The sequence below is a fragment of the Homo sapiens genome, chromosome 15, assembly GCF_000001405.40.
Source record: "Homo sapiens chromosome 15, GRCh38.p14 Primary Assembly".
Classification (NCBI taxonomy): Eukaryota; Metazoa; Chordata; class Mammalia; order Primates; family Hominidae; genus Homo; species Homo sapiens.
In genome coordinates, this window is record NC_000015.10 from 60894117 (window position 1) to 60908091 (window position 13975).

The following is a 13975-nucleotide window of genomic DNA, read 5'->3' on the forward strand; positions in this document are numbered from 1 at the left end:
CCCTCCACCAGCCACGCGGCCCGCAGCCAGAGTTCTTCCTGTGAAGAGCCCTCACCGCTTCACTTTTCATGTGAAGCTGGCAAAGCCGCTTCAGCGATCATTTTTTAACACGGCAGCTCCCTGACAAGAGGATTAAAGCAGGCGGCTTTCAAAAAAGTATCAAGAATAATTTAAAATGCAATATGTTAATGCTTGTCCAGAGTTTTGTACACTTTCGTGAAAAGTCATCAATCTCTCCCGCCACACCCTAACGACAATCCTGTAACTGGCACGGTTTTCTGACATTAAGAAAAAAAATTAGTGAACACAGTCATAAATTAGGACCAGAAATCTAACTGCAGATGAGGCTTCCGAAGTCACAAAGCAAAATTGGGCGTGGAGTCACAAACTGAGGATTTTTGAGGGAGTAGGTGGTGGTTATTTTGGAGGATGGTTCCTTTGCAGTCTTCCTGGAGGATGAGCAAGGGGATCAGAAAACTGCCGCTCAAACGCTAGTGTGCATCAGAATCACCTGGAGAGTTTGTGAAAACAGATTGCTGGGCTCCCTCCCTAGACTTTCGGATTCTGCAGGTCTGGGGCAAGGCCTGAGAATATGCATTTCTAGCCCGTTCCCAGGAGCTGATGCTGCTGGCCTGGGGAACCATGCTTTGGGAACCTCTGGGCTGAAAAGACACTTTCAGGCCTCCCCTGGTGTTAGGACTTCATTAAAATATAGAAGCAAGAATGTGAGGTGCAACTTAAACATCCCTGCACAGGCACAGCAGGCAAGGCGGGAAATGAAATCGCACAGACACCAGGGCTCGTTGTCACAGCATCAAGCAGTGCCTTAAACAGGGAGGTAAGCAGTGTCCTCCAGCTGCTACAGTCACCTCTAAAAAGATAATGCCTGTCTGAGCAAAAGCAAACACCAGAAGGCTTAAAAACCTGGGGTCCCCATGCTCATTCCTCAAGCAGTTGAAAATGTCTTTATGTAGAGAAAGTACAGTGTAAATAGAAAGTAGGGCTCGATTTCCACAAGCTCAAGTCAAAGAATCTGCTGAGAAGGCCACATGACACACGAAATGAAATCCAGGTCCTTGATACCCGGAGGCAAGAAAGCGAACGGAAGATCCAAGACAATCCAAAGGTTCCTGAATTTTTACAGTAAACAGTTCTGATCGGATTCACTTGCTATTTTGGAACATACATGAAGTTCATTAACTGGCATATATTAAAAAAGAAAAAAAATTAGAAAAAGAAGGAGCTGGAGGACAAATCAGTAATTGCTCCTTTAGAGCAAACCAAAGTTACTGAGAAAATCTCCTATAAAGGCTCTGTCAAAACAAGTCACTTAAGGATTAGTGAGAGCTAAATCCTCCGTCAGAGAGATTTTTCTCAACAGTCGTAAATGGGTTTTAGTATCGGAAAATCTTAGAAAATATACTTCTCCTGCCTCCACCCCCCTCTCAGAATGGCTCTTTCAATAGCTCGGCATCTTGTGGGAGCAAAGTATTTCCTTAGGCTGAGGCTTTTTATTTAAAAAATAAAATAAAATAAACTCTGTCATTCATGGCAAAGTCAGTGGCTGGAAATAACTCTTTACAGGCATGGAGTGCATGTTTCAGAGGCTTGCCCATACAACGCACATGGTCAAGTACAGCCTCAGCAATTTCCCTCCTAACAATTAGTATAAGCTAGGGCTCTTACTTTGACTTTTTACCTTGTTCCACTTTTGGTCTCATTTTCTTAAGGCTTCACTGCTCAATTTGTTCATTTTGTGAGGCAAGAGCTTAAAGTTCATCCTTAAAAATGCGTAGGTGATTCAGTTTTTTAATTAGAAAAAAGCAAACACTGCTAATCCCAAACCTTTTCAATGGCAGCCTTCTAGGGGCACACATTTTAATTCCATCAGTAAAGGGTCATCTTATTCATTCTCTTATAATCATCGTGGGGGCCCATGCTGTATTTCTGGGCAGTCTCTGGAGTCTATGACACTGGATTACAGAGGTCTGTCTCTGTTCATTAAGTGAGTGTTCAGAGAAGACCCACTCATCCTGTAAGCACTTAGAGACACTCTGGAGTTTGATCCTCATGAGAGGGTGACCTGGCAAGGCCATTTTCCTGTCTGCTTCCCAGATGGTCACACTCTTCTTTGTCTGCCCAAGCCTTTTTTATCTTATCAGTACTCAAAGCTAACGCATCTTAGACATCGTTGGTACCAATCAATGGAAAGCTAACACACTTGCACAACAGTCCATATGCGAATAAGCATTGATTTTACCCCCCTTGGTTATAGACTGCATTTCTAAACTTTCCATTTCCTCCATTAGACCCTTTAAAAACATCCATTTGTCAGACATAAATATTTCTCCTGATACCCACACAGGAAGTCTTAGTTACAGGCCTGGTTTTAGGCATTACTATACTAGGCCATTCCTTAGCATGTGTGACATGAGTGAGTAATCAGAAATCCCAACCCCAAAATATTTCCCTTCCCAATCTACCTTATACCCAAAATTTCACCACTGCAAAATCCTTAAGACACTTTCAAGTCCAGAAATACCCTTTTAATATTAAATTATTCTGAGAGGCAACCCATTAAGCCTGTTTAATTAGCAAGACTCTGGAGAATTTAGCTTTTTTTTTTTTTTTTTTTGGCTGCATAGCCAAGGGAATTTAGGGTTGGAATGACACAGGCCTGAGTGGAAATTCAAGAGCTGTCATTTCCTAGCACCATGAAGTTGGGCAAGTCACTTAACCTCTAAGAGGCTCAGCTCTATCACTTTATCTAAGTGGGGCCTGACACTTGGGTAGTACTCAATAAGAAAATTTCCTTTCTCATGAGGTGGCTGCTCAGGGAGAGATGGTCAGGACAGAATATCTACCCAAGGTTGAGAAGACAGAGGAGAAACCAGGGCACATCCTGGAGAAGGCAGCTTCAGGAGTGGGTCCTGGGGTCTGGGGTGGGGTGGGAGACGTTTTCGATGTTGTTTAATGGGCGGTAGTGGGACCAAGGAGAGTTCCAGTCACTTGGAAAACAGGACTGCAGAGTGGAGGCAAGAGCCATAGAAAAGAGAGAAAGCCCTAGAAGGGGCTAGGAGGGCCATCTTCTGCCACTTCACTCATCTGTGGATCACCAGGTCTACCCACAGTTTTACAAATTTCACTCCAGTTCTGCCCTAACTTATTACATATCAGGGCCTTTCACTCATTATCTCAAAAATGACATATAGAGATCTTTGCCTGTGGGGTTAATGAGTAATCAGGAGGTATCACATTAATCTCCATTTCACTCCAGAATAAGTTAAACAGTTGCCTCAAATCCTTCTCCTGTAGAGGAAGAGGGGTGTAAATACGAGGTAAATATGTAAAGAAAAGCATGAACCAATGACCTCAGTAATGGTTCCAGAGACCAGGACTCCCTATTCTGGGGGTGAGGATAAAAGTTTCCATGTCTGATTTACCCTTGCTCAGGGATGAACCCATGTTTCTGTATTCCACATCCACTGGATAGATGCCCTGCAGCTAAAGACATCTTTTTGAGCCCCCAAATTGAAGCCTTTGGATTTCCCTATGACATGTGAATTGTATTTATGTAGGTATTCTGATGAAATTGCACTTCCCTCAAAAAGATGAAACTTAAATGAAAGAGGATGAACCTGGAACATGTGCAGTGTGAAAATTTACACAGCGAAGGAGCTAAGTCTCAGCCATGATCAGTCTATTTTGAGCTTCCTGTTAAGCACCAAAGTGATGGAATAGGACAAAGAAAAATTGTACCCATAATAAATAGAGGATGACCCCTGTGAAAAGTAAAGATAGAGCCCATATTGGATTAGAAAAAGACTTGATATTTCCCTCCACCTTTACCTCCTTCTAAGTCTATCCAGGAGTAACAAAAATGATGAACATGGGATCTTAAGTAGTCAAAAAACTGTAAGATTAGGAAAGGAAGCTGTAATTGTTTAGAATCTACTATGTGCTAGGGATTTTAGGTGTACTGCCTCATGCAATAGATGAGATGAGAGCACAATGAAGAATACTTTTCTCCACTTTACAGGCCAAAGAAGCAGAGGCTCAGCTTGGCTCAACTGCATATCAGTAAATGACAGGAATAAGATTCAAACTGAGTTCTGATGACTCCAAAGAATGTGTGGGGCAGGGTCAGGATGGTCTTTAGGCTTTGGAGGCCTTCTCTTTACTGGAGGCACAGGCTTTGTTCTAGGTTGTAGGAAGAGAAGTAAATAAACTGGTAAATCTTTCTGTATAATTTTCTCAGGGTTGAAATGGTGGCAGGGGAGCTGGCCCCGGTGGCTCACAAATGCAATCCCAGAAACTCAGAAGGCTAAGGCAGGAAGATCGCTTTGAGAATAGCCTAGGCAACACAGTGAGACATTGTCTCTAAAAATAAATAAATAAATAAATAAATAAATAAATAAATAAATAAATTTAAATTAGTCAGGACTGGTGGTACACACCTATAGTCCCAGCTACCCTGGAGGCTGAGGCGGGAAGATCACTTGAGCCCAGGAGTTTGAGGCTGCAGTGAGCTATGATCATGCCACTGCATCAGCCTGGGTGACAGAGTGATACTCTAACTCTTAAAAAAAAAGAGAGAAATGGAGGCAGGAAAGGCAGAACTCTTCAGAAAACAAGGCAATGCATTCTGGCTTTTTTGGTTTTTGAGAAACATCACATAGGCTGGATGGTGAAGTGCTCTAAGAATATCTATTCAAAATGACTATGAAAAGGTTCTATCTAGCATACAGTTTTCAGGAAGCGGATATGAGGGCACAGGGGATGGGTTTGGGGTCAATGAATGCATGTTCTCAGGCTTACTAATAGATGAGACCATGGTAGATATTCCCTTGAGCTTCCAGAAAGCACCCAGCAAGTTAATGCATTCATGCCACTGTAAACTAGCATTTGAGTAAGGGGTGGTCCAAACACCCTACTTATGGAGGCAAAGAGCAGCAGCTCATCTGCAGACCACTAGGGGTTGTTCGCAATGCAACAGAAACCACGTCTTATCCTTGACAGGGCAGCCAATAGGTAATCATGTTTTACACATGTCATTTTCCAACTTCATCTTCTTTCATCCTTCTGTAGTATCTCCCAGGGAAGATCTCATAGAAGTAACTGCATATACCAGTTTCAAACACCCTCAATATGAAGAGCATGGAACTCTGCATTCAGCTACCTGGGCATGTCAAAAGCACATCATGCAATAAGCCAATGTTTAGTATATGGTCCAACATGGACGTGGTACCTTCACAGCTCTTATCTGATTGAAATGCATAGATGTGGATAGGAAATGACATGCTTACTAATTTTCTGAGAGGAAAAAGGGGAAATCCAGTATAGTGACTGAGTGAAAAGTTAGTAATAAAAGGTAAGTGACCCAGACAGGGAGTTTCCTGAGCAAGCATAACCCAGCAGTTTTTAGCCACACTTCTTTCATGGCTTTCTCTTCAAGTTAGGTTGACAGATATCTGATCCAATGCTTGGCCATCTACTGAAACCACCTCTTACCATTCCACCAGGTAAGGACGTCAGCAAAAAGCCTTTTCACCACAAGTAGCAACCTACTTTCCAAAACAACTCCCCGCACTTCAAACTAAACCAACGACTAAGTAAACCCAGATTAAATAGAGCTTTATCAGGATGGAGTTTGAGTAATCTCTAAATCAACAAATTCCAGGGAATGTGTGTACAGAATATCCATTATACAAATGTCAGACCACAAAGTCAAACTCTTTGTTGAGATGCTGTTAAGGCCTTCCCTAATACAGCCAATATAGCAGAGTGGGAGAAGCAGGGTCATGCTAGCTTCTATTCCAGAGCCTGTTTTTCCTTATGCAAAGGCCAGTAAAGCAAATTTTCTGCAGAATTATTTTAGTTGTTCCTAAAAAGAACAAGATAGCCTTTCCTCATTAGTCTGAATAGACAGCTCCTTTTCTGAGTTGCTTTAATTGCTGTGGGTTAAGCTTCACTATCACACATCCTCACAACCATAATACAACTGGCATCATTTGGCGCTTTTTGACTTGGTTAAGTACAAACTACAAAGTCCAAGATGGGAAAGGTCATTTATTGTCTGCCAGATGGGATGTTTCAAAAGGAAATGATTTAGTCACATCATTAGGAGAAAAGGGAAGAATTAAAATGTATGCTCACATACAGATTTCGGTACGCACACAAAATGATCAGCACAGGAAAACATAAACAGTAGCCCAACAGCACACAAGTTACAGCACACAAGTTACACAGACTTCCTTAAATGGTATCTTCTACATTGATGTTGAAAAATGTGGATTGCTATTTTAATACTGCTGTCATAACAGTCTAGTACAACTGGTAGCATGAGGCTGAATATGCCTCAGAGTCAGATAGAGCTGGGTCCAATACGGGACTCTTCACTTACTACTCATGTGTGTTTGGGGCATATATCTTATTTCCAAAACTGCCTTATAATCTATAAAATGAGGACCATATGGGCTGGGTGCAGTGGCTCACCCCTGTAATCCCAGCACTCTGGGAGGCCGAGGCGGGTGCATCATGAGGTCAAGAAATCGAGACCATCCTGGCCAACACGGTGAAACCCCGTCTCTACTAAAAATACAAAAATTAGCTGGGAGTGGTGGTGTGCGCCTGTAGTCCCAGCTACTCGGGAGGCTGAGGCAGGAGAATTGCTTGAACTAGGGAGGCAGAGGTTGCAGTGAGCTGAGATCGTGCCACTGCACTCCAGCTTGGGTGACAGAGGAAGACTCCATCTCAAAAAAAATAAAAAATAAAAAAAAATAGGACCATATGGCCTTCCTCCTAGGTTTTTGCATAGATATAATAAGGTTACATGTAAAGTATCTGCCCCTGACACATACTACTTCCTGAATATTATTCCTTTCCACCTCTCCTTAGGTGTGTGTGCATGTGTGTGCATATGTGTTTAGTATTGAAATTATGCCTATATGTAGAAGGCACACAATAAATACTTCTTGTCATTTACTCAGTAATGGACATTGATCATTTACCTTTTACACTAAGTGAGAAAGTCTTAAATGATCTTGATTCATGATTTTTTTTTTCTTTTTTTGAAATGGAATCTCACTCTTGTCGCCCAGGATGCAGTGCAGTGGTGCGATCTCAGCTCACTGCAACCACTCCCTCCTGGGTTCAAGCAATTCTCCTGCCTCAACCTCCTGAGTAGCTGGGATTAAAAACACCAGCCACCACACCCAGCTAATTTTTGTACTTTTAGTAGAGATGGGGTTTCGCCATGCTGGCCAGGCCAGTCTCGAACTCCTGACCTCAGGTGATCTGCCCACCTCGGCCTCCCAAAGTGTTGGGATTACAGGTGTGAGCCACCACGCCCGGCGATTCATGATGTTCCTAATGGTTCTGTCCATTTTTACAGCCCATCTCAGCTGAAAGAAATATCTAACAGTTCTGTTTATTTGTAAATTACACCCAAATAACTTAACAAGTATTTATGTCCTAACAACTTGATTTCTGAAAAAAAGAATACACATAAACTAAAAGAAAAATGAGTCCCATTCACTGTTAAATAATCGTAAGTGCTTAATAGTGAGATGCATGAGCCTGTTGGGCACTACGCAACTTCTCAAACTCTGGCATCAGGTTGGATGCCCTCACCCTTGTTTCCTGCTCCACACTGATTTTCACATGGTCCTGTTTTATAATACAGCAACTGACAAGAACTTAGCTTCTCAAAGGTATGACATCACTGAAAGAAAGTTATGCATTCCAGTAGTGAAACTGTGAACTACCTTGAGCTAGTAGTTCACACGGTGCCTGACAGATGTCAAGAATTGCTGTATTTTCCTCAACTATTTAAAATATTTCCTGGCACCCCTTTGAGGCCACTGCAATGTCCAGGGTGCCTCAGCTCACACCTTGGGAACCCGGAGGCTAATTAACCATAGTGAATCAGATTCATTTTCTATGCTACTACTGAAATATGAATTAGACAATATTATAGATAAAGCTGAATAATATGACTTGTTTTAATACAGTTCTAACTCGATTTTCTACTTCAATTCCATTCTTCAGCCATTGATATTTGGCTTTTTAAAAGCTGTCCTTGTAGTGTCATATGGTCACCAGATAAACTCTGCAGTGAAGGCTCTTTAGATTCAAATCTATGTTGAACTATTTCAATTTTATGATTTTTTTTTTTTAAAAAACAGAGAGTAACCCAAAGCTTACCAGGTGATCCTTCTTAGTAAAAGGGATTTGTGGGCTGTGGATCAGCTTCCCACTGATTCATCTGAGATGAAGACAGGACCCTCCATCCTGCAAAAATGGGTTTGAAAAAAGAAAGGAACTCTCCATTTACACGTGAGAATGGCTCAGCCCTAAGAATGCTGCTTGCAGGTTCACTGTTCTGCATTTAGAATCCAGGCCTAGAGAAGCAGCACGGCTTGCCTCTGCTGTGAATCAGACTCTATCTTGTGTTGTTTTAGAGTCATGTCTACATAGCTGAAAGATGATTTGGATCTTTTTCAAGAAGAGAGTGGTAAGGTGAGGTACAGTGAGGCAGAAGACAATGCTGGTCAATGCTTTAAAATCACTCTCTGAGAGGAAAACCCTTGGTTTCTACTCTCTGCTGATTTCTGTGTTAAAAATACTCCCACCGTGGTTGAACGAGGTCACTGAATTCAGAGTTAGGGAAAGAGGCACACAATCAGCTCTCACGAGCTGACTCTAGCCCTTCACTGGGCAGAACGCTTTTCTCCTCTTCTACAGCTGCCCACGGAATGCTCTGAATCTAGGGGCGTACTCCGCTGAAAGGAAGATTTATAAATGCTCACGTTTATTAGCTCCTAATTGAGGATATCTGCCAGACACAATAAATAAAGTTGAAAAACAGAGTGCTTTGGAGAGAAAGTAGGCTAATCCGAAGCTTTTTATTCAGGGGATGAATTCTGGTCTTCCTCTCTGTATATGGGACACTATCTTGACCTTTCTGGCTGAGTCTATTAGCTCAGAGGTGGCACTCCAGTGGTCAAGTCAACTGGCATTCATCAAGCACCAACCACAGGCTTGAAATTTATATTAGTTGTTTTGGAAGGTTCCAGGAGAAGACAATGTAGACTCCTGAGGAGGGGATGATGTAGGTGAGGAGAGAGGCTAATGGCACATGAAGCCTGCAAAACTGGGCTCTAGACTCTTCTCATTGCAGCTTCAGAGTAAATCAAGTAACACTGTCTGTCTTCCCAGAGGTACCCTTGGCAGAGACCAGCAGGATCTGTTGTTTCTACTGTTGGACGCGTTTATGGGCCCTATTGGCCGATTTGGCAAGCAGCTTTATATAAAATGTCTTCCGGAACCATCCTTTCCCCTGTGAGTCAGTCATCCTCAGAGTCCTAATTCTGTCCAGTTTGCATCAGGCCTCCTCAGTCTCTGTAGCCCAAAGCACACGATAGGGTACCAATGTTCAAGGCTCTGCTTTATTTTGAAATTCAGCTGGTGAAGCTATTATATTCTACCTTTCTCCAAGTAGTATGCAATGCAAAGTGGCAATTTTACACCGTGCTAGCCCAACATAAATTCACAGATGAGTGCACACCTTATTTGGAATAAAGAGAAACACAACAGTTATTAAAGGGGTGATTACCTTCCCAGGGACCATGAATTTAAAATTATGCAAAATCGGAGGTCGGTCTCTACAAGTTCACATAGTGATTTAAATGGGGGTAACAATGAATATAATATCTTCTAACATGTTAAAACTTCCACAGCAAACCTCTTATATAATGCTTTGTTGCTTCATTGATTTGATAAGTTTGTGGGGGTACATTTTGCATTCATATACGACGTATAAAGTATCTTGTTTGCTTTACAAAAATGAAACATCAATAATAACAATCCTCAGGTTGCTATGATTTCTCTGTCATTCATACTGAGTGCTCAGTGTCAGGAACAGCATTTGTTTTGCCCTTGAGGAATTTGCAGAGCAGTTAGTAGGTATCGGTGTCCTTTGTAGTGGTTCAAATAACATATAACTATCGTAATATATTTGAAATAAGCCAATTATTATGCCATTTGAACATCTATCCTCCTTAAGATATATCCTGGGTTTTACTGAAGGACTTCTCTCTTAATAACGTTTTTCTTTATGATATGAGCGTCCTGGCTGGAAGAGAGCTGAGCTTCAGATACATGGTGTTGGAGTAAGGAGAGAGTCTTTTCCCTCAATGGTTATTTGCATGGGGGCTAAGGAGCCTCCTAGTTGGGGAGGTGAACTTGAACTGTAGCAACAATCAAGATTCAAACATGCATAGACAAGTATGATGGCTTGAAGAGGAGACTGCAGGCAGAAGTCAGGAGACAGGGATGGAAAAGAAGGGTCACTGTGAGAGAATCTGGCAGGGCCAACAGACTCAGCCACAAGTCAGCAAGTAAATGGGGAGATGCTGAAATGGGTGAAATGTTCTCCTTCAGTATGGTGGCTGGTGTTTGAACTCATTTTACCCTCTCTTCCAGGGGCTGTGCACACCTTAGGTAGAAAGAGCTATACATGTGAACTGAAACAACTCTCTCACCAAATTCTAAGACACTTTGGGGCTCAAACTACTCTATTCAAACTACCCATCTAAATGAGCACAGAGACAGAAAACGTTTTCCTCACTTCAACACGGGCTGCTATCCTGTCACGGTAATGAACGACGGAAGAAGGCTGGTGGCTGGGGCCTTCTCATAACCATGAGAAGAAACAATAAAGAAAAATAGGGGTGGTGTGGTTTGGGGTGGTCAAGGCCAATGTTGAAGACATTGATACAGCTCAGAATAGCAGGCAGCATCCAATGGTGAGTGGAAGCCCAGATTAATTCCAAAACACATATAAAACATGTCTACCTCTTTGGGAACTCAAAAAATGTGAGGTTGGGATGAGCTGCATGAAGGACTGCATTACCTGAACAAACGGGTGAGGGCTTGAGGCTCTGGGGGCGCTCGTCTTTAATGTTAATGAGACTCATTCATACCATGGGCTGGGGAGGCTTGGAAATATTTTAGTTACATAAACTGACATCAACCCCTCTTCTTCTTTTAATTGATATGCAGTCTTAGCCCTGTTATCATCTCTGATCTTGACCATTTCCCTTAGCCACTGGGCAACCAATGTCTCCTTCTGAACAGTTGGGAGAAATGTAAATTCACTGTTTTTTCTCCAGAGCAGCCAGAGGTTCCTTAATTTGCATCGTTATATGAGTGCAAAGCATGATGATAAAATATGCAATTCTTAAGAAATGTCAAAGACAGCTCATTAGATCAACTTTTTTTTCTGTGTATTTTTTTTTCTTTTTAAACAGGGACCACTGTGCTTCCTTTCAAGTGACAAGAGTTGTGACAGCTGCTCTATAAGGTATTCAATGGTTAATTAAGACACGAGTGTCATTGCTGAGCTCTTTTGTGTTTCATAGAAAGCAGTTGCTAAACAGATGAAAGTAGGTCTGAGGCAAGGGGTAGCATAACTATTATTTCAATTAATAAATAGCTCTAAAAGTGAAGGAAGTGATAAAGCCCTCAAGAGCGTCTGTATCTGCCCCGGTTCTGTCAGGAAAATTAAACAGAGCACTTGTGATTGCCATTGCTTCTGTTTAAGAGATCCAAGCAAGTAGGGTCACCTGTGCTGAGCAGGTTAGAGCCGGCCTGGTTCTTGGGGCACCCCCTAGTGACATGTTCCTATACCCTAGGATATCCCTTTCCTTGCTACTGAAAGAAATGGTGCTGAATTCACCTTGTTCTTCCACCCTCATCATCCTTTATTCTCCCCCTCTCTTCTACCAAAGAAGCCCTAAAATGTATTTTCAGATAAATATCAGGAAAGCATTTATAAATATTTCAGAGGTGTTTCATAAATAAATCAGCAAATCTACAAAAAGACTTCTCTCTTTTAATGAGATCTTGTCTGTGGTATATCCCTTTTACTTGAGCATCATTAAAACCAGTTGGGAAGATTTTTATACTGGACTCTCTTTTCGGGGGCTTCATAATATATGAACAAGCCTGCTATGCGTCTGTGAAACATGTAGCCTCTTCTTCTGACAGATTAGGCAGCCCTGGCGCGAGGGAATAGCTTTTACTCTTTTTAAAGTAAATACTAATCAATAGCAACTGTACCGACAAAAACCTTCTTGCTGCCTAATTGCACCACAGCTACTCATAGACCCCAACAGAATTTTCCCCTAGATGTAACAAAATTAACTACCAGGGGCTGAGCTAGTGAATTATCACCATCTCTCTATTCAAATGTAATTAACACAACCCCCCAACTACCACATGTACCATTAAAGTACCATTTGTATGTGTAATTTTCAAACAGGGTCTAAAGGTCGTGCCCACATCAATCTTTTCAACACACACAGCTGCACAGGAAATCAAACTGGCAGGGAGGTGGTCGCAGCCATTCTAGGAAATCTCTCCCTCTCTCAGATATTGTTTGTAGTTTCTCTTCTGCAGCTTAATGCCCTCTGTGGTCTCTTTGGCCGTGTCAGAAATAGCCAGACTGTATCAGAGGCAAACAAGTGATTTAAGGAATTTTAGGAAGCCAATCTAGTACCCAGCCCTGGCCAATCCAGGGGCTAGCTATGCAGAAATCTTACTGATAGCTTGGGATGGATACTACGGCCACGGTGGTTAATAATAACTAAGATTTTTATTGTACATTCAGATTATAAAAAAACTTGTACCTGCATTTTTCAAACTCATTATTATTATTGGCAATTGTAGTAATACCAGGGGCTATATATTGAGCATTTGAGCTAAGAGCTGTACATCTATAGTTTGTCAATTAATCCTCATAACAACTTTATGAGTTAGGAATTATTTCCTCTATTTTAAAACCAAGGAAACTGAGGCTCAGAGTGAGTGTGTGACTCAAAATGCTCCAAGCAGCTAGAAGGAGGGAGCACCAGGGTTTGAACCCGATTTTCTGACTCTGAGGCTCGTTCTGACACATAATCACTTTGGGAGGGAGGTATCATCATCATCCTCAGCCCCCCACCAACATTATCATCATCACCACCATCATCATCAACATCATCTGCCTTTCATACATGAGGTAAACAAGGTACAGAGAGGTGAAGCAGCTTGTTCAGGGCTACACGGCACAGAAGAGTATGGAAGAAGAGGCTTGGAGGCAAGATAAAGGCAAGGGGCAGTCATTGGGGATTCATGGAATAGATGTCTCTCTAAATGTCTCTCATGTCCTGGTGGCCATTCCATCTGTCACTTTCAAAAGTCAGTGGAAAGAGCAATGTAAGAGGAGTCAGGAGTCAGGGGCCATCCACTCAGACCAGACACCAGCTGGGTGACCTTGACCTTGACATTCCCTCTCTGGGCTCCGTGCTCTTGATTACATAACAAGCTAGATTAGAAGATATCTCAAGTCACTTCCAGATGTAACATTTTAGGCTCTTCATTTGTGAATTATTCGTGCTAGAAGAGGCCATATGTGGAAATTTAACACAGCAATACTTTCTCAAAACTTCACCTGTAATGTGCCTGTTAGGACTCAGGCACCCATGTTGTCACAAAGCCATCTCTTGATAAAAGGAGGAGCCCTGGGCTGAGGATGCCCACATTTAGCGTTTTTTTTCTCAGAAATACTCTGCCACTCCCAGAGCCAACACGTACAAATAGCATTTGCTGCACACCCTCCACTTCCCATGTGTCATTTGGCAAGGCTGCCCCGCTTGTCAAGAGGGCTATGCAAAGTCACCAAGGTCTGTAACTCCAGTTAGAACTCAAACACTAATTTTTCAGCAGCAGAGTCTGTTGTGAGAAACCTTGCTCCCAGGTGCACAGTGAACACAGAGGGTCCTTCTCTAATGGGACTCCCTTGACTTCTTCCACTCAAAGACGCCTGGTTCCAGCCTGTGAGGCTGTGCATGGGGTCAGCTCCAATGCTCGGAACGTCCCGCCTCCACCCAGATACACACTGACCACATGTGTCTGGGGCTCCTGAGTTTTT

At 42.3% G+C, this 13975-nt stretch overlaps 1 protein-coding gene across 2 annotated transcripts in view, besides 2 other annotated features; it reads right to left on the reverse strand.

Annotated features, from left to right (window-relative positions):
- RORA (RAR related orphan receptor A) overlaps nt 1–13975 on the reverse strand; it is a 741019-nt gene that overhangs the window by 405833 nt on the left and 321211 nt on the right. The gene's annotated exons all lie outside the window — the stretch shown is intronic.
- Nucleotides 5298–5537: an enhancer, noted in NCBI's record as "active region_9518". NCBI's record gives its function as "activates an Ori minimal core promoter by ATAC-STARR-seq in GM12878 lymphoblastoid cells {active_cell/tissue: GM12878}" and the evidence as "EXISTENCE:reporter gene assay evidence [ECO:0000049][PMID:35858748]".
- Nucleotides 13115–13616: an enhancer, noted in NCBI's record as "OCT4-NANOG hESC enhancer chr15:61199430-61199931 (GRCh37/hg19 assembly coordinates)". NCBI's record gives its function as "activates a minimal SCP1, AML or CMV promoter by ChIP-STARR-seq in naive H9 embryonic stem cells {active_cell/tissue: H9 hESC(naive)}" and the evidence as "EXISTENCE:reporter gene assay evidence [ECO:0000049][PMID:30033119]".